Source organism: Homo sapiens, chromosome 3, assembly GCF_000001405.40.
Source record: "Homo sapiens chromosome 3, GRCh38.p14 Primary Assembly".
In the NCBI taxonomy this organism is placed as follows: domain Eukaryota; kingdom Metazoa; phylum Chordata; class Mammalia; order Primates; family Hominidae; genus Homo; species Homo sapiens.
Window position 1 is genome coordinate 105,773,625 of NC_000003.12, and position 21,511 is coordinate 105,795,135.

Genomic DNA, 21,511 nt, shown 5'->3' on the forward strand with positions numbered 1-21,511 from the left:
TTTTTCGAGCTTCATGCTTAAAGTTTCTGGATTATAAGTTATTATTCCAGAGTGTGAAGATTCAGTTTAGTATTGGTCTCATTTTGCTGAACATACTTAGACACATTTATTCAATAATGTCACTTTTCTTTTCCTACAGATTTCTAACTCCTGGTCAACAGACTATGAAAGGAAAAGCATGACTGCATTGTTAAAATATATTCATTTGCATAAAAATTGACCATAAACAGAATCCCCCAACAAATTTGCCATGATACATGTGTTACTGTTCCCCTTGGGCCACAAGGCAGGCAGTGCCTCTTGGCTGCTGGGCTTGGGCCCTGAGCAGAGAGGGTAGCACTACCATGTCTTCAAAAACAACAGTGCTATAGTTTGAATGCCCCTTCCAAAATTCATGTTAAAATTTAATTGCCATTGCGACTGTATTAAGAAGTAGGACCTTCAAGAGGTGGTTAGATCTTGAGGGCGCTGCCCTCATGAATGGATTAATGGTTCTGTTTTAGGAAAGAATGCTGTTTTCAAGTTTAAAGGCACTGGTTGGGCTAAATGAAAGCATTCTTACATGGCCTCAATGAACAGTGAGATAAATGACAGGCATGCTCCCACAGGAGAACTAAGTTTTGGGAAAATACAAACAGTATTAGAGCATAATGGAAAAAAAAAATTCAACCTTTCGAAAGGATACACATTATTCATGCATATGTCCATTCATTCAATAAAATATTATGGAACCACAAGGTAAAAACCTAGGAAGAATAAAAAAATACTTTCTCCAATTATCTAATAAAGGAATAATTAATTTGTATGACTATGGTAATGCATATAAGTTCCAAAAGGAGCATGAAATTTGGCAGTCATCCACAAATTAAAAGTGTTAAAGAAAAATTAAGCAGCTTTCTCAATTCAGTAAAAACAGCAGACAAAAGTGAAAAGACTTGGGAGGTAGGGAAAGTATCTAATCACTATTTCAAGAATCCCTCATTTGATGTAGTAGTGATTTCACTCATGTAGCAGTTGAACAGAAATTTCAGCCCCTTGATGTCTGTGGTTATAAATAAAGGGAAATAAAGATGTCTCAAATGCATAATTTTCTGTGGCTTGAAGTACCAGCAAAGTAAACTCCTCTCTTAAAAAAAACCTGTGAGCAATCTTTCCATTTTTTATTGACCTTATGACAAGTAAACAATTTTATAACTCATCAGAATTTTCAGTTTTCAAAAAGAAATACCATAATCAATTTGTCCTATATATTTTCTTAAAACTTTAAGAGAAAGTTTATTTTGAAGGTTACCGACTGTTTGAACTAAGCTTACAATGTTAATACATGAACTGCAACTACAGGAAACAAACCCTCTCAGTTCCTACACCCTGAACCTGGCAAGATTGTTCTGCTTTCTACAATTAATAAATATTTAATTAGTATAGTCTTAGCTGTCTGTGTTATTCTAATTCAGATAAGGATAAACTTTTTTCTAAATTCTTCATTTCTGAATGAATATATGAACATTATAAATAACTAGATTGCTACAACACAGAATTTCCATGTTAATGGCAACAATGGCATTTTCTCCTTTAGTGCCTAAAAATAATTCAGAATACATTTTAGTACAATGTGGGAAATAGGCTTTAATATTTTGGATGCCAAAAAAATTGTGTGCTTAATGAAATGTACATTACTCTATGTAGGTATATTCCAATCTTGGTGGTGACTATAGTAAACTATAGTACTTTGTAAAGAAAAAACAAAAACAAAAACAAAAACAAACAAAGGAAAACCAATATCGCAGTTCAACATATCAAAGTACTAAAAAAAGTGTATACTAACAATTTTTATGTCTAATTTCATCAGTTAAAGGACAAATACAGACCTTTGAGACAAGATTAAAACAATAATCTATGTAAGCAGTCACACTTCCTCCTTACTTACTCAGCCAGGGCTTTGCCTACATTCTAGGACATTCTGAGGACGCGCTCTCATTAAAGGTAATTCTTAAAAGGTTACTGGGGAAACCACTTGCCTCCTGATGCTCATTCTTGATCATTTTACTGAGACATTTATGACAAAAGTTTTGCAACTTTTATATAAATTATGCTGACCTTAGATATTCAATTCCATTATCTACCAAGCTCACCAGAATCTGTGTCTCTGTAGGGCATACATCTTTAACTACTTTGCAACAGACTACATCTTTGTGATAACATTATCCTCATATCTTGTTCACACATATATAATCTCTATGCAGTAAAACAAAGAAAGGCTGGATCAGGGTGCCAGGGCCTTCTCTCACCTCGATTTCAGACCTTAACCAAGCTTAACATACCACCTCCTCCAGGAAGCAGTCCCTGATCACTGATCCCAAAGCAACTATTCCCTTCTAAATTGTCACAGCAATTTACTTATGCCATTTTTTAAAGTATCTATGCCCTTCTACCCTTTATTTTGTATATTAAGTACATATTAAATTATAAGAAGTTATCAGCTTCTCATGTATAAAGACTCTTACATACCTCTGCTTCTCAGAACAAACTCAATGAATGCTCATGAAATAAATAACATTGTATAATATTTACTTAGTGACTAAAAAACTATTGCATTATTGAGGCATACCTTTGGTGACTATAAAAATTACCAATCAATCAAAATGCTTATCAAAAATAATAAAATACATTCACAAAACACTCAAGTAAAATATATACCATATCCAACTGGAGGGAGGATACAGTAACCCTTGAAAGATAGATCCACAGCTATAAAAATGATTTTTACTTACTTGTCTCCAAAAAACTTTCTCCAGAATTCAGCAGCATCTGCTTTTGTGATACGAAAGTTATCTCCCTGGAATTGACCATTGGGAAAGATTGCTTTGATTTCTGCCAGCATGTGACTGAAGATAAGGGACAGTTTTGTGAGATTTCGTCTGTAGGCACAAGGGAAAAAAATGAAGATAAGAAATAAACACCTAGATGCATGCAAATTTTTATGGTAATATATATTAAGACAAACAATGTTATGTATGTATCAACGTATGTCTTGGTGGTTGATCACGAAAACCTCAACTTAATGCTGCCCTTAAAAAAAGTTTATGAAAACATTGTACATTTAAATTCCTAACAAAGCTGTCAACTTATTAGTTATCCATGTATTCATTTAACATAAACACAAATAAGATAAATTACATAATTTCACTGAGCTCACAGATTAATGGAAGAGATGGACACTTAAAAAATTAATAATCAAATATAAATGGTAAACATAAAAGAGAGAGTGACTATTTCTACCTGGGGGAGTAAGGAAAGATTTGCCATCAGAGGAGAATCTAGGAAGAAAACTCATTGTTTGACAGATAAAAGACCTGGAGAGGAGAGAAAGGGAGGATGCAGAGGGAAGTAAAAGGTATTTCAGGCAGTAGAAACAGCATGTACAAAAGTACTAATACAAAAGTATAAAATGAAAATGTATTGGTATTATATCATTTTTGGCACAGTGAAAGCAGAGCAGAGGGTAACAGGAGAAAATAACATGAGACAGAGTAAGAAACTTTAGTTGGGACATGACATAAAGAGGCATCTGAATCAATGCACAGTTTTTGTTATACATGCTTGCCACTCCTACCTAAATATCAGATTTTCTGAGGAAGGGTTCTAGATATATGCATATTTTAGAAGCTCTGTGGGCAATTCTAATGTGCTTTCCTCATTAAGAGGTACTGCTATAAGAAATGGAGAGTCAGGCTAGGTGTGGTGACTCACCCCTGTAATCCTACCACATTGGGAGGCTGAGGTGGCCAAATGGCTAGAGCCCAGAGTTTGAGACCAGCCTCGGCAACATGGCAGGACCTCATCTCTACAAAAAATAAGCAGGGCGTGGGAGCGCATGCCTATAGCCCCAGTTATTAGGGAGGCTGATGTGATCTCTTGAGCCAGGAGGCAGAGGTTCAGTGAGACATGAACACGCCACTGCACTTCAGCATGGGTAACAGGGTGAGACAATGTCTCAAAAACAAAAAATGAAAGAGAAAAGAAATAAATGGAGAGTCAAATGGATTAATGGATTCAGAATTCTGAAGACTTGATGAAGTCTGTTTTAGAAGGAAAAAATTGTAGTAATATGACTAAATGGTTTAGAATGGAGATACAGGTGTCAGCTCTATTCTAATTTCCATGTTAAGTTCTGGGGATTCTGACAAGATTTAAACCATGCTTCATACTACAAAACAGTACTATCAATCACCTATAATCCTTGCTAACATTTCTTAAATTTTCAATATTACGTTAATCGGCATAAAACTACTAGTGTTAGATAGTTAAGAAGCAATTAAAACACAAAATACTAAATAACTTCCCCAGTTTCAAACAAACTTTATTTCTTTATATTCCCTTTTGCTCAGAATGACCAGAAATCAATAGGTACATTCTGCATATGTTTTCATTTTGAAGCTTCAGCTATTATGCATGTGTATGTGCACCTGTATATATGAGAGAGAGAGAGAGTGTGTGTGTGTGCATGTGTGTGTATGTGTGTGTGTTGGGATGTGAGTGGAGGCAAGTGTGTTAGGACTCAATAAAAATATAGAGGGAAATTAACACAGAGAAAGTCATCAAATTTGCAACATATAAAACCATACAGTGTATCAACAGACCTTTGTCATTGAAAGTTGTGTTTCTTTGCTCCATATTTACTCATGTATCTGTGTTTAATAACTGTCAAATAATAATAATAACTCATGTTTTTTACCAAGGAGATCATTTAATATGCACCTGACAATAAAATCATTGGATGACACTCTTTCTAATTTACAAAGGAGATACATAACTTCCTGTATAAGATGAATACAGAAAAAAGATACCCATGATCAAAAGTGGGAAAAGTAGTAATAAGAAGAATGCAATAAGATATTCTATAAAATCAATAAATTCATCTTCCTTAAAAAAGTTTAAAAAAAAACAGTCACCTATTTCCATAACTTATCTACGGAAAGCTTTTTGATGAAAGGGGGGAGGGCATAACATAGGCCTTATTTTAATGCTTGACCTGTACCCATAAACAATCTGGAAAATTCATTATAATATACATAAATGTTACATCATTTTATTAGATTCAGCCACTTTTGCACAACTCATCCTAATCCAAGTGTAAAATTTCTCTTAATCAGTTGAATCTTTGATATCAATATGATTTTGTCATTTATGTTAACATATCCTCAATTTAGATGATGGTAGATATAAGATATTGTTTTAAAAAATAAAAAGTAAACTGTTTTACTATATCAAAGGAAAGACTTGTGGCTCGTACAAACTACAACCGACTTTAAAGATTTGAGTTTAAGAAAAGTATAAAGTCACCTTAGGAAATCTGCAATGAATTTATTTCTATAATTGGGCTAAAGATTTAATTTTTACCAAACTTCCAATTGATACATACAAAAGAAAAATCAAAATGGCTATAATTAGGGTAAACCAACTGTTCTTTATTTTCTGAATTGGCTGCACTCCATCCCCTTGATTCTTTGTCCTTTAATCATATCCAATTTATTTTTTTAATTTTTACTTGTTAGATCTAAAGTCTGAAACACAACGCCAGTGATTACCCACCCATTCTGGGTATCTGATCCACTGGCTATGCAGACACTAAACTTTAAAAGAAACATAGTAACATTTTTTATAGTCTAGAAGCTCTAATAATCACCAGGACCTATATCAATACTCACTGATTGACTATAAAATGTGTATATGCTTCTATTTTCTTGCTTCTGCAAATGGATCACCACAATTTTATTTGGCTTTTGCACAAAATAAGGCAATGAAAAAATACATTTTGCCTTTAGTCTTGAAAGAAACTCAAGCTCATATTGTTAAAAATAGTTGAATATATATATGCATATATACATACACATTCCAGAATATATATATTTACTTTATACTTATACACTCACACACACTCCATATATATGTAAATAATCATCTTAGAAATCCATTATTTAACATATTTATAGAGGTTGCAATCGACACCAAGGTATGAAAAGAACTGACAAACTCATTCTGTTGGAGCTTAAAAGGAAAAAAAAAAGAGAAAGAGAACTGAAAACTATTCTGGTATCTAATTTCATTTAAATTTGTTATCATAGAAAATACGTTTTCTTTTTTATATGACGCTGTGACTTTTTTGTTTACAATGTTTTGCTATGTAGTATGTGCTTTCTTTATTCCCCATCCCACTATGCATCCTTTGATACCTATTTTTTTTTTGAGATGGAGTTTTGCTCTTGTTGCCCAGAATGGAGTGCAATGGTGTGATCTCGGCTCACTGCAACTTCTGCCTCCCGGGTTCAAGCAATCCTCCTGTCTCAGCCTCCCAAGTAGCTGGGATTACAGGTATGCACCACCATGCCCGTCTAACTTTGGATTTTTAGTAGAGACGGGGTTTCACCATACTGGTCAGGCTGGTCTCAAACTCCTGACCTCAGGTGATCTAACCATCTCAACCTCCTGAAGTGCTGGGGTTACAGGCATGAGACACCGTGCCCAGCCTAATACCCATTTAAAAAAAAAAAAACTTTCAATTTTGAAAATAAAACAATCCAAGAATACAGTCATCTCTAACCATCTAGACATAGGGAGAAGAAAAGAAACAATCACACATCTTTGTAGATGGAATTTTTTCTATTACGTAATTTTTCCATACTTAGCCAATCTTCCCTAAGCCCATGGGATTTCCCATCATTGTAAGACCTAAAATGATGACTGCCTAATAAAGAATCTGATACTTATGAAGAATATATTTCTGCCACTAAAACCCAAACAATCCCCAAACAACTAACTAAATAAAAATCTGCCCAGAAAGAAAAGACTCAATAATCTTACAAATGTAATTTTAATTTTAATTAATTTTACATGGAATTTTCGATATCAGTTCTTTCACTTATAAGAGAAGCTACTTATTTCCACATATATTCCATTAACCATCACATTTATTCATTTTCTTTGCATGGGATTTTGTTTGTAATAAATAATTTTACAATAAAAGTTTTGTTTTTTGTTTTTTTTTTTTTTTTTTTTGAGATGGAGTCTCGCTCTGTCACCCAGGCTAGAGTGCGGTGGCGCGATCTCGGCTCACTGCCAGCTCCACCTCCCAGGTTCATGCCATTCTCCTGCCTCAGCCTCCTGAGTAGCTGGGACTACAGGCGCCCGCCACCATGCCCAGCTAATTTTTTGTAGTTTTAGTAGAGACAGGGTTTCACCGTGTTAGCCAGGATGGTCTCAATCTCGACCTCATGATCTGCCCGCCTCGGCCTCCCAAAGTACTGGGATTATAAGGTGTGAGCCACCACGCCTGGCCAATAAAAGCATTTTAAAATACCAAATATTTTAAAATACCAAATAATCAAAAAGTAGTTGTCAACACTGGCCAAACTGCCAAAGATGTTAACATTAGAGGAGGCTTGAAGAAGAAAGAAGGAGGGAGGAATAAAAACCAAGGAGGGAGAAGAGCTACATTAAAAAGAGAGAGAGATGTGAAATGAATCCACAACGTCATCATCTAAGCAACAAGGTACCTCTTCATCCTGGATTCTGTCACCTATATCATATTTCTTTAAAATGGTATGAATCAATTTCTCCAAATGTCAAGTTACATTGCAGGGATTCAACTAGAATGTGGATTTGAACTAGAGTGAATTAGCATGCTGACTCTGTTGGAATGATGGAGCTTCACCGTTTATAAACAAGTCTTAACAGTTTAAGGTTGCTACGGTCAACATCATAAGCACAAAGGAAGCATATAATGCTTGATGGAGGATGGCACAATGCTACCCTTAATGAATATCATATAGTATGAAACAAAAAAACATGAAGAGATCATCATAATACAATGTGGTAGGAGTAATCTGCTCTAATTATAGCCATCTTGACTTGATGAATTAAATGAATAAATAAATAAAAGAAATAGAAAATATATCAAGATTTGATTAGTGGCCTCCACTAAATGCAGGAGACTCACACAAAGAATGTAATCTAATTAGATTGCATGTAGTCCTTGAGTTTTTTCTATTCAAGAAACAGCTGTGTTATAAATCAAGGAGGAAATAAAAAGCTTTAAATGCTGAATTAGTAAAAACTTTAAATGACCATTTTCAGTGAGGTGAAAAGTCTGTGAGGATGTGCTGCTTTTGGTAGAAGAAATGGGAGGTGATACTTTTACCCAAAAACTATTAATAATTCAATTCTCACATTTAAAAGCTAGAACATGCTCTTCTTAATTTTACAAGGTGAAACAAACTCAATATAAAAAGAAAGGCAAGACATAAAGAATATAAACAGTGGTGCTTAAAATGAAACTCACATCCAGCTAAAGAGCAATTTCCACTGTATTTCTGATGTACTGCCCTCCAAAATGGGTTCAGAGACTTACTTCACACTGTTTCTGACCTTAGGAATGTTGTGATTCCTAAGTGAGGAGACTAGGCTGATGTAAGCCTTGCCTTTCATTTTTCTCTCATGGGAATAGATACTACTATTGAGATGGGTCCTGACAGTCTTAAATAAAACTGGATCCTTACCCATTCCCCCTGCCCAAATGCTTTAAAGTTTTAAATGTGTCTAAGGAGAGTACACAACAGACATTAAAAGTTCAAATACCAATAAAGACTGAATCTACCCAAAGTCATAAGAGAAGTCAGCAGTGCGCCTAGGAACAACCTAAACTGAAACACAGGCAGGACAATTTTTCAACTTGCTCCATTTTACTTTTTGGATACTAAACTGATCACTTTAAAAGAAATTTAGCAAACTAATTCCAAAAAACTACACTGAACTGGCAACTAAAGGAAGATCTTACATTTCCTTTGTTAAACACCTCATCCACCACTAGCACAGCTAGGGAGGTTACACCCAAAATTCTGACTGGGAGAGGTAACTTTGGGCATTCTTTGATCTCTCTGTAGTATTCTTTTCTTTTCTTTTTTTTTTTTTTTTTTTTTTTTTGATACAGAGTCTCACTCTATTGCCCAGGCTGGAATGCAGTGGCCCTATTCTAGGCTAACAGCAACCTCCACCTCATGGGTTCAAGCGATTCTCGTGTCTCAGCCTCCAGAGGGTGTATGCCACCACACCTGGCTAATTTTTGTACTTTAGTAGAGAAGGGGTTTCTCCATGTTGGCCAGGCTGGTTTGGAACTCCTGACCTCAAGTGATCTGCCCACCTCGGCCTCCCAAAGTGCTGGGATTACAGGCGTGAGCCAACTGAGCCCGGCCTGTGGTATTCTTTCCAACATGTTATCTACGAAGTTTTATTAACAGCAAGAAGCTATCCCTCAAAATAAGGATGCTCTTCACAGGACAAATATATTTGCTTTCTAAAATAAATATATTTAAATGGACAACTTACAAATGCCTTACTTAAAACATGAAATAACATGCCAGCCTATGATGCTCAATGTAATATCCTTTGAGAAGCTTCCACAAGATATTCAAAATATATTCTGATTAATTTTTCTAGTATCTTACATATTGACGAGTTTGGTCCTTAAGTTTGTTAGTACTGGCTTAATATCCTTAGCCTGTTTAAAGATAAAGAAAAGGTTACTTAACCTGTTTCCTCATTTCTAAAAATTTTGAATAAAAATACATAAGACATGTAGGTAAGACCCTGATGCATCTAATTTTTTGAAAACCTTCAATAAGTAAGTTATTTATCATTAATTCTACTTACCACTTGTTTAAAATTATAAATATTTATCACAGTAGCATTTCTTCTTTTTCCATATAACTATCATCCAATAAACTGATGGCTCTCTTACTAAGGTAAGAGAATCATATTCTCACATTATTAAGATCATCAATTATCATGATGGCCTTGTACAATTCAGAAACAGCAAACAATGGGCAAGTATTTGATACAGTCATTTAGTCATTTATTCTTCAAATCTCTGAGTGCCTATTATACGCCAGGCTTAGTCTAGGCACTGATATTACAAAGATGAAGATGACAGAATCCTATACCCAATGAATTTAAGGGATTTAGAGAGCTCCAAAGATAAAGAACAATGCAGTGGGAATAAAGCTGAGATGGAACCAGAAAAAGAGGGCAATCAGAAGAGAGAGAGTGTGTTTAAAATTTCCAGGGTGATGCAGTTCTGGCCAAAATGCAGCTAGTCCTGCAACTGGTAGCTACAGCAGAGTGAAGGTGAATTAGGCCAGGAATTGGACAGTTTGAGGGTTGAATGGGGTCATTCACATGGATTTTGAAACCTCCTGGAATTGTAACAGCAGTATGCATGAAGAGAAGGACTACAATAAACCTTATCTCAATATATTCAATAAAGCTTCCCAAATGATTTTTTTAATGTCAGTTATTTTAACTTTGCATTAATGCTAAAGCAGGATTAACATCTCTTTGATGATTTCAACAAATGGTTTTAATCCGGAAAATCTATTATGAAAACCTACTACAGTATAAATATGACCACTCATACTTTCATTTGGTTTAAAAGCTTAACAATATATATTTCAATAAGGAAAACTCTTTATCTTTAGTATTGAACTTCTTTTGATGAAACCTAATATGTAACAAGTATCCTTTTGTAAAATAAACCTTTAAAATGTAGACCACTCCATTGAGACAAAAAAGAAAAAATAATCCATTCTTTCATTCCTTTACGATAAAACACAATGAAAGTTCTGTAAACACAATGGAAAATCATGATTGCTATGAGATTCATACAGAAGTAACCAGAACATAGCAGAACTTTTTCTTTGATTATTTTTCAAAAGAAAAAGAAACATTAGAAATGTTGGAAATTCAAACTATACTTTTATGACCTAGAGTTATGTGATAAAAGACCAGTTTCATCAACAAGCAAAATAAACTTGACATTGAAACAACAGTAGTAACAAATTTTTTAAACAAATCTACATTAAGTTTCTTATTATTTGCTATTCCCAGTAGTCTATCATAAAACAGTGAAGTGGCAATCTGAATGGAGTCAATTAATCCATATTTATTGCTTCTGATCCTCCACCTTAATTTTAAACACATGGCTCAAAAAGACATAATTGATCAGTTTTTTTTCCAAGTTCTACCCCAAACCCAGCAGGAAAATCCTATTTCTACTTGTTACACCATTTTTATCACTTTTGACAAATCAAGGATGGCTTTTGTCTTGTTTTTACTCAATAGAATATAGTTAGAAACTCCTCAAGTATTTCTAGTGTCCTTTCCACCATTTCTCACACTACTTCTGTTTTCTCCCCAAGCTATCCAAATGGTCTGCTTTCCGTGAGTTAAGCCATTCGTTCACCCTACTCTGATACAATGTTTCTATGTCTCAGCCTGTTGAATTCTCAAATGCACCAGCTTTACGTCAAAATACCCACATGGAATCTTTTCCCTACCCCTTCCCATATGTGACATGCCACAACACTTTATCTGCCAGGGCACAAAGGTTTCCTTGAAGGGCACCATGGTTATTTTACATAGATATTGTGTTTCAGCTCTATCAGCGCACATCTTTGTTAGAGAAGAAAAAGTCTTACACCTGTAACAACTTCTTAAAATAGCTATCAAATAAAAGTTTGTTAATTTCAAAGATTATAAAAAATATTTTTAAACTATAAGGAATAATTTGCTGACCCCAAAACTGTGCTAATGAACAGACAGATAGGAATAGCCTATAAAATTAGTTTACAGAAAATAATTTTTAACCAAAACCCACTTTAACAGAGAATTACAACTCTGAAGTTTGACTTTCAATTAGAAAAATATCTTTACTCTGTGAGTTCTGAGACCTTTTATTTTCTCTCATTTTTTTTCTTTCTTCATGAATGGTAAAACAGAATACCAACAAGACAAAGGAAATTAATGCTATATCCCTCATGTGCAGTTTCCAGAAACTCAAGTAAATGTAACATATTTGTCATACTTTCTGAGGAAGCATAACATAGTTTCCCGTCACACTAATTGTTCCCTGACAGTTCCTTCCTTCTTCTGGCTCTGGAAATTTTCCTTATTGATACCTGTGTCTCATTTCAATACTGTTCTTTTGGAATAGGACAAGTAAAATACAAATGAACCAAAGGAGGAAAAAAGTCATCTCTCTGGTGCTTATGTCGTGCAATACTAACAGAGAAAACTAAAATCATGAGATTTTTTCTACCTCTTCCCCAGGATTAAAATTATCTTTATTCAGTATGTGCAAATATAAAGATAAAAACAAACACAAATTTGCCAAGCAATTCCCACTCATTTTAGCCATGATCTGATATAGATACCTCATAGAAAACTGGGAACCAGTGGTAGTGCAAGTGCATATCAAGTGCCCCAGATATGCCTTCTCCGTTTGAAAGCCAACACAGACTGGTTGCCAGTGGGGCCCTTTGAAGGATGGGAGACATTGCAGTGAGTCTGGAAATCTATTCTCACACATAACACTGTGTGAGAGGATCGGGGGGGGGAAAGTGGGTAAAATGAAAGTGTAGAGTGAAAAAGGCAGGGTAATCGATACTATGCTCAGTACAATCTTAGTTCTATTAAATTAAAAGGCTATAAATACCACATTATAGATGATGTGTTGTAAATAGGAAAACAAATACAGGATATACACAAAAAGGCATTATCAATAGTAACCTCTGGTTAGTAGAATTACTATGGTTTTTCTTTCTTTTATTCTTTAAATTGCCCTATTTTCAGTAAGAAACAAAAATGTCATTAAAAAGCCATTATATTGATGTTCTCTGATAAACCTGAGATGTGCCTACTGGAGACAGAATAGATTTCCAGACTCACTGCAATGTCTCCGGTACTCTGAAAGGCTCCACTGGCAACCACGCTGCTTCGGCTTTCAAACGGAGAAGGCATCTCTGGGGCACTCAAGCCAAACCACTTGCATGACCATTGATTACCAATCTTCTAAAAAGTGTTAGTCCTTCCCCCATAGTACATTCACAAATGGCACACCAGTATTTTTTCCATATCCTTCCCCAAAAGAAAAACCTCTTAGTTCTAATTTCATATCTTTAAAATAAAAACCAGACAACAGAAAGCTCAAACACTTAAATCCACAGTCTAAAATTGCTTTAAACAGAAGGAGGGGTCTGGATCCTTAAATCTAGTTCATGATTTATCTCCTTCCTTTATAATAGTCTCCTAAAAAATGCAACTAAAACTAAATTATTATTAGGAGCAAGAAATCTCAGAATAGTTATATAGATAAATTAGCACATCACATGTGTTCTTTGTCATATAACGTCATGAAAGAAATGGTATAGCTGAACCCAACCAGATGATTCAATTAACTCCATTTTACTTCCATTTATTAGATATATGATATGTCTTAATATGCATGATAACAGTTCAAGAGAACACTAATTTAGATGTCAATGGTCTCACAGAAAAATCCTGTCTTTTTAAAGCATTGAGACTATGCCAGGTAGTTTTTTTCTTTCAAAATGAAAAATAAAAAGTAATCACAGAAAAACATGGCTGTAATAACCTACTAGTTCTCAGCAGTACAATTTCCCTGAACCACTATAGAAGTCTTAAACTTTCTGAATACAATGACGACTAAGCATTTTTTAAAGGTCTCAGACTTTCACAAATGCAAAAGTTAAGCTGGATTTAACTTATTCTACAGCTGAGTGGTGGTGACAGGACCTTCTTGGATACTTGGTTTACATTTCTAATAACAAGGCTAATTAAGGAAATACTGGGATACAGTGGAAGAAAACACAGTGCTGACAGACCAGGTTTCTAGACACAACTCTGCCCTTCACACTATTCCATGATATGAACAAGAGTGAAAGCTTCTCTTATCTAAACCTTCTTCTATAAAACCAGGGGGTTGTGGTACATACGTTCTATGGCCCCATAACATTCTATGGGGCTATCTACCACTTTTATTCTGATCAGCAGGAGACTAGATAACTCTGGCGCTAAAATGTCTATATGCTTTAAGCAAAAACTGTGAATCCATTTCACAACTTACAGCTAACATGAAAGTACAATAGGCTATATGATATTTTCAACTTACAGACTTTCCTCAATATGCCTCAGTCTTAGACTGAAGAAATCCTGAAGGCAGTATGCCAAGAATCTAACATAGAAAACTCAAATTACCATAAGCATAAAAACTTTCAATTAGTATATTTGAAAGCCTTGACTTTTATTTTGTTCTTTACCATCACAGGCATTACTGACATTTCTTTTTTTCTTTTTTTAACAATGAAAACTCCATGAATAACATGGCCCTCAAAACAAAGAAAACCACAAAGCAGCAGAAATAATTTTTAAAAAGGCAATTTAAAATCTGTGTTTCATGTTAATGAATAGTAAACACTAGAACACTGAAACCATATGAAAAATATAAATTGTAGTAGAATGGAATATGCCCACTGGGAAACTTATGGTTTAAGAAGCTGACTTATTTATTTGCTCTTGGTGAGGCAATGTGCTAATATTTGTAGTAGACGCAGGATAACATCAGATGTAAAAATTTTACCTTTCATATCACCCAACAACTCAGAAATTTCCAAATTTGGAGAGACTGCTACTTTTACCACATGATGGCTCCTCAATAATGTGATCCAAATATCTTTATAATCTCACTGACTGCAAAGACAATTATCCCGCCACATAAATAAAACTTCCTCAGATATTGGCTTTGGAGCAGAAGGACAAATTTATCTGCCTATACCATTGAAGGTAATATATTACAACGGTGAAAAGCTCCAGCTCTAAAGTAAAAAAAAAAGCAGGAGTGTCCAATCTTTTGGTTTCCTTGGGCCACATGTAAAATACACTAACACTAACAATAGCTGATGAGCTTAAAAAAAGAAGTCACAAAAAAAATCTCATAATGTTTTAAGAAAGTTTACGAATTTGTGTTGAGCTACATTCAAAGCTGTACTGGGCCAGGTCACGGGTTGGACAAGCTTGCTCTAAAGCTTAAGGTACTTAGTAACTAGATGACCTCGGACACTGACTTAACCTCTTCAAGTCTCAGTCTTCTGATCCCTAAAACATACATTGTAAAAGTACTTAGCTAATTTTGTAAAGGATTGAGTACTTAGCTCAATCTGTAAAAAATTAAAAATGGCCACAAAATCTTTGGCACTCTTCCCAACACAGGGGAGTCTATTTCCCTCCCCTTTTACTGAAGTAGCCTGTGACTTGCTTTACTCAATAGAATGTGGTAGAAATGACGCTACATAAATTTTTGAGGCTAGGCATTACAAAGTTTGGCAGTTTCTGCCTCTGCCTCTTTAAAAATGCTCTTGCGTTTAGCTGCCATGTTCTGAGGAAGTCCAAGAAATCACGTAGAAAGACCCAAGTATGTTCCCAGCTGCCAAGTACCAAATGCTAGGCATGACAGTAAAGCCACTGGACCTTCCAGCTGAACTAGCATCCCAACCAACATTATATGAAGCAGAAAAAACATTCGGTAAACCCACAAAACCATGACAAATAATAATTGCTGTTAAATCAAGCCACGAAATTTTGGGGTGGTTTGCTATACAGCAATAAATAATTAGCTTAGAAAACTGATAAAGAGTATGCATTCAATAATGTTAATTGTTATTAGCACTATTAGAGCTACCAATCTACTACTATTATCACGATACTCAATTCTAGCACTTGAAAGGATAGGGCTCTTTTCTCTCTGAGAATAGAAATGAGTGATGAAGCTGGGTAGAAAGTATCAAACATCTTATTTAAGAATTTTATTCTTGTTAAACAAAGTAGTTTTTACATTAAAAATTATAAATTTTACAAGTTCTGTATTTTCTCTGATAAAAAAACCAACCAGGGAACGTTTTTAGAAAAAATTTGTACTATCCTATTTGGAAAGCAGCATACCCAGATTTGAATCAGAAGGAATTTACTGCAATTAATTCCCAAAACGTATTTACTTAGATAACCACACAATGAACTGAACTGTGAAAATACCATTAAGCTAATCCACTGATTTCTACTGACAATAGACTTAATTTCTACAAGTTTTAAGTTCTCAAAGGTAGAAAAACCCCTGACATTGTATGTGGTAAAATGTAAGCAAAGACATAGAATGTTTATAGACCTAACAGCAGTGTCTTTTAATTACGCTGCCATTTAAATTATGTGTTTTCTGAAGACAATTTAACATAACTAGATTTGACATATGTCTAGATAAGAAATCATCCTGGATATTGGCTTGTCTAGTTCTATTCAATGGGGTCTCTGTTTAAAAGTCAAGCACTATTAATAATCCTACTTATTAACACTAAAGATACATACTGATTTTTTTAGCGTAATTCTTTCGGCATCCAGCTGTACCTGACCTTTCATTACAATACTTTTAAGAAGATATTTAAAAATATTGCTTAACAGATCACTGTACCTGTCTACCTGTGTAAATGTTATTAGTGAAATGGTTATTCAATAGATGCACTGCTATACCCAAGACTTGCAGGACTTAATCTATATGGTAAGCACCAGAATCAACCATTATTTCTCTCTGAAGATACTGATTATTTTGTCGTAATAAAAATAAGAAAATAATTTTAAAAACAAATTTTAATATTTCTGTTAAACATCAAAATGATAGGAAGATTGTATACTTTTTTAAAATGATTTCTTGCTTAATTATTTCTTAAGGAATTAAATATTAAAATAGAGGAAAAAGTGCTACAAATAATCCACAAAGATCAGGCTGCAAAGCAGCACTAGAAAATCTTTACATTTTCTTACACATCTTACTCATGTCACAGCTTGCTGCTTCTTTGTCTACAAGTATAGCTTACTTACACAACTATCAGTTTTCCCTGTTTTCAGATTGATTTTATATGCATGAAAATTATAATCAACATATATGGAGTTCCATCGACTTTAATAAAGTTTATTCACTCAATGAACCTTTTTTGAGGACCTGCTAAAATCTGCCACTACATTAGGTAATGGAAATATAAGATAAAGACCAGTTCAGTCCTTGCTTTCTGGGAGTCGACAGTCTAGTGGTTACTTAGATATAAAAACACACAATTACATACACTCTAACTGTACAACTAAGGTCATTCAAGGTGCTTCCAAAACACAGGAACTAAAGAGAGGTGTTCAACTCTGTTAAGAGGAGCAGAGCAAATGCAGAAGAACGTGCCAGGCAACAAGCCTGGCAGATGAAGGCATACAGATGTAGACCAGTATGGCAATATGACAGACTACAGGGATAGAAGTGATGTGTATTCAGGAAAGAGGCTGATAGGGGAGCAAGAACACATCATAGATAGGACCCTGCCTCCCCATCCAGGCTGCCCACTGCACCAGCACAGGACCCCTTCTATCCATGCTGCTCAGGAATTCAGAGGTCTGCATGTGCAACCATGCTTCCACCAGGGAGAACTGCATGAGTGGGGAGTTCAAAACAGAAAACCACTTTCAATAATACGTTATCACCAGGCATAATTTAATCATTAGGAATTCTTAGATTTTTACCCAAATTTAAAAGATCTGTTGAAGATTTCTCTGTTGTAAGATAACAAATGAGCTAGGAGCGTTTCTTCCCTGTATCCTTATGAAATATAATCTAGATTTAACAAATTGAGAAAACAAGCAAAAGAAAACAATAGTGCACAGAGAAGAATGCACCAGAAGCCTATGTCTTAGAAGCAGATGTTCTACTTTGGCGGAGTCTCAGCCCCTGGTGTATTAACCGTTTGAAACACATTCAGAAATCACACTGTTGATGTACTTCTGAAAAGATGTGTTTCTCTTTCAAAATACCACAGTTAATTCCCTCACTTCCAGAAATGATTCATCTGATAAATATTTAGTGTAGTAAAGAAATATATCCTTTATTCATGATCTAAAATAGAATACTGAGCGAATATGGCAAACTCAAAACACATATTATCAATAACCAATCAAATACCATGCCACCCACTGACGTTGTCTTAGGTAATTCTCTTGATAAAGAGACTCCTAGCAGCTCTCAAGAATAAATCCCACTTGATTCTATGGACTACACTGAAATCCGTTCTTTTAAAATGGACTGAAGTTAAGCATTACATTTTTCCATTAAGTTTTATGGAGCAAGATAAATTTCCTGTGTCAAAATTTGTCACAAAAATCTGTTTTCCAGACATCTGGTGTCACACATACATGAATACAGTACCACATGGGGATATCTGTAAATAGCAATGGGTGGCCTAGCATTTGGTTTCTGATCAGCATTTATTTCCATTATGTTAGTTGGTGAGTTTAATTTGGATTTTATTAATATCTATTTTTATCACGTACATTCCATAATATTTTATATATGCCACAAGGAATAATACAATATCTTGTTTACAGCATTTTCATATTTAAGTGTAAAGAAGGAAAAACTACACGGAGTGGTGAATCTTAATTTGAATTTTATTTAAATAAGTGTCTAATAATGGCACTCAAAATTTGGTCCTTAGACCATCAGCATAGCAATTACCTCAGAGCTTGTTAAAAATGCAGAATCTCAGGTCCCACCCCAGAATTGCTGACTCAGAATATATACTTTAATAAGATCCCCAGGTGATTCTTATGCAAGTTTAATGTCTGAAAGCACTGGTTTAGCAGGACCCTCAAAAGATCCTTTATTTTTCATTGCTCTGCCTCTAGGTAAAACTACATCTAAAGCATCTTCAAGATCTCAGTACTTACTTAAAGATTTGTGAAAGCAATTCCTCTCTGTTGTCCCAAACCACATATCTATCAGTCAGTCCCTCCCAAGTGGGGAGGCTGCTAACGTCACTACTGGACTGGAGCATCATTGTTTTAGAGTGAGTTAGCTTCTCTCTCAGGTCAGACCTCAAGGGCAACTACTTATGGGACTTTCATTTGTCATCCCTCTTGCTCAATAACCCTGAAGTACTCATCCCCTAGTCTTTGACAGCCCAGTCCTGGGACAGCGTGTACTTTTCACATTTGTAAATATCAACATCAGACTGATAATTCCCTCATCACCACACCCCAGTCCACCCCCACATTTCTATCCTGGGAGAAAAATTAAATTCTTCCGATGGGTCAACAGACTGCCAAAGGTCAGAAAGAGGGCGGCTCTTTCCTTGCTTCCTCCCACTACAAGAAATGGAAGAGGACCAGGCACATCACAAGTTCAGTCTAAGTGTGACTCACCTCTGCCTAATTCGAGAAAGGAGCAAATTAGTTCCTCCCTCAATAATCTCCATCAATCACCATTAACCTCTGAGATTCCTAAATGCAAACAATCCATCTGCGGTGTCTAGTTCTATCCTTAAGGTCAGGAAAGGAGGAAACAAATTTAAAAAGGTAAGACCAACCAGTAAAGAAATAAAAAAGTATTTTCTCCAAATGCACCACTAAGATGCTTTATCCTCTGGAACTGATTTTTCCTCCTCTTATGTATCTCCTTGTAACTTAATAATTAAAGAGCAATCAGGGCCTCCCCTGATTGCTTCCACCAGCATAAATATCCTTGGAAAATGTCAGTCGAGCACTGTTAACTTATTTTGTCCTGAGAACCTCTAATCAAAAGAGAAAGATCTTGACACAGTCTGTGGTGGGATGTTGAATGCAACATCACAGAACAAGGCCAGAGAGTGATTTGAAAGGAGCAGCTGCAGAATCCTACAGGAAATGCCGCTACATTCTGGTACCTGAGAGAAGGAAAGTGAAAGGCAGAACTCTTGGTGGAGCACACAAGCATGCCCAGCACTCTCTGGGAAGCTGGCCCTGGAGTAATAAGCCAAGGGTAAAATGAACTAAGGGGCTCTGAAAAGCTGGGATGCAGGAAGCAAGTCTTTTCATAAGGAACTGATGGAGGAAGGTGTTCCTTCCATAAACCTCTGGTTTCCAGATGCTTTAAGAGATGCTAAAATGTTTAACAAAAAAAAAAAAAAAAAGGAAGGGGGAGGGATTGACATAGGACTCTTATTTAGTTCATCAAATAACACCATTAACACAAAATCTATTATTTACCTGTCATTAATATTTTCACACAAGAAGAACAAGGAAAAGAATCTCAGGAAAAAAAAAGTATCCATTTAAATGAAATAAACTGAATTTCATGAAAGATTCACTAAAATGCCTATTATAACTTCCAGTTCCACGTCACAAATGGGTGCTAAGGAACTCATCAGGAGCAACTCTCAGGAAAATCCGAGGTGTAGCTGTTCCACTTTGCAGTACATCCACATGCCTCTAATCACAGGTGAAGAACAACTCAATATACACTACAAACTTTGAAAAAGAAATGCAAAAAAGGGTGACAAAGAAGCTTCTTACAAAAATAAATTAAATATGGCCTGCTAATAACTAGTTATTCATCTATGAATATGAAGTATGAAAATATTAGCTCATTATTTTCCAACTCTGAAAATAACTTGCAAATAGAGTTTATATATGGGAAAAGGCCAAGAGAAAAAGAATGAATTATTAAAATATACCCATGCAACACTAAAAATAAGACTGATGATGCCCATCTGACTCAATGAACTCAACTGAAAATGTAACACAAAATACAAAGATTTATTTGGGCATAAAATTCCCGGTCATCAAATTACTTAACAGTAAGTAATACACTTGTAGTGCTTTAATTTAATTATGAATATTTTCTGTGAAATTTCTTGACAACTGTTACCATGTAAAGAAAAAAACTGTTATTTTAATATCGGTCTTATGTGAACTAGCCTATTACTAAAAGTCAGGCTTGCTACTGAAAAATCCAAATAGATTTCTGCCTAACCTAATACTACTTAATTACTGTAAAAAAGATACAATCTGACATTAACCTTACGGAGCAGTTTGTTTCCCCAGAGTCAGCAGCATATTTTTAAAAAGCATACTTCTGTAACAGTCTTTTAGGATATTTTGAAATAATCACAGAATTGTACAGATGGAAGTCACCTCAGAGATCATTTATTAATTTCGATCTTACTTATAAAGGTGAAACTGCAAACCTAAAGCTGTGACAGACCCAATGTCACAAACCAACTAGGGGCTAGAATTGAGTCTTTGAACTACAAGTTCCACTGAAACTATGCGTACCTTATCGTATTATCCCCAATACAAGTAGGCAAGACGTTCTTGTGAGCTAAACAATTAACAAGCCACAACTCATTATTAAATGACTAAAAAATGTTAATAACAGATACCACATAAATACATAAAACTACATTTAAAAATATATACATACATTCTACCAAAACAGAGTATATACATACCCAACAACCCAGCAATCTTACTCCACATATCCAGAAGAAATGCATGCATATATGCACCAAAAGACATGCACAGAACCTTCTTTTGAATAATGGCAACTTTTTTTTTTTTTTTTGAGATGGAGTCTCACTCTGTCGCCGGGCTGGAGTGCAGTGGCGCTAACTCAGCTCACTGCAATCTGTCTCCCGGGTTCAAGAGATTCCCCTGCCTCAGCCTCCCAAGTAGCTGGGACTACAGACACGCACCACCACGCCCGGCTAATTTTTTGTATTTTAGTAGAGACAGGGTTTCACCATGTTGGCCAGGATGGTCCAGA

At 35.2% G+C, this 21,511-nt stretch overlaps 1 protein-coding gene across 43 annotated transcripts in view; it reads right to left on the minus strand.

Moving 5' to 3' along the window:
* The window catches only part of CBLB (Cbl proto-oncogene B), a 213,989-nt gene that overhangs the window by 118,164 nt on the left and 74,314 nt on the right, over positions 1-21,511 (minus strand). For 38 of the 43 annotated variants that reach the window (NR_135810.2, NR_135811.2, NR_135808.2 and 35 more), the window contains one exon: positions 2,772-2,918. The exons of the other annotated variants lie outside the window; for them this stretch is intronic. Coding sequence is in view for 21 of the 38 variants with exons in the window: in XM_011513257.2 (XP_011511559.1) it covers positions 2,772-2,918 (147 nt within the window). In the remaining 17 variants the exon portion in view is untranslated. The remainder of the gene's footprint in view (positions 1-2,771; positions 2,919-21,511) is intronic. 43 annotated transcript variants of the gene reach the window in all.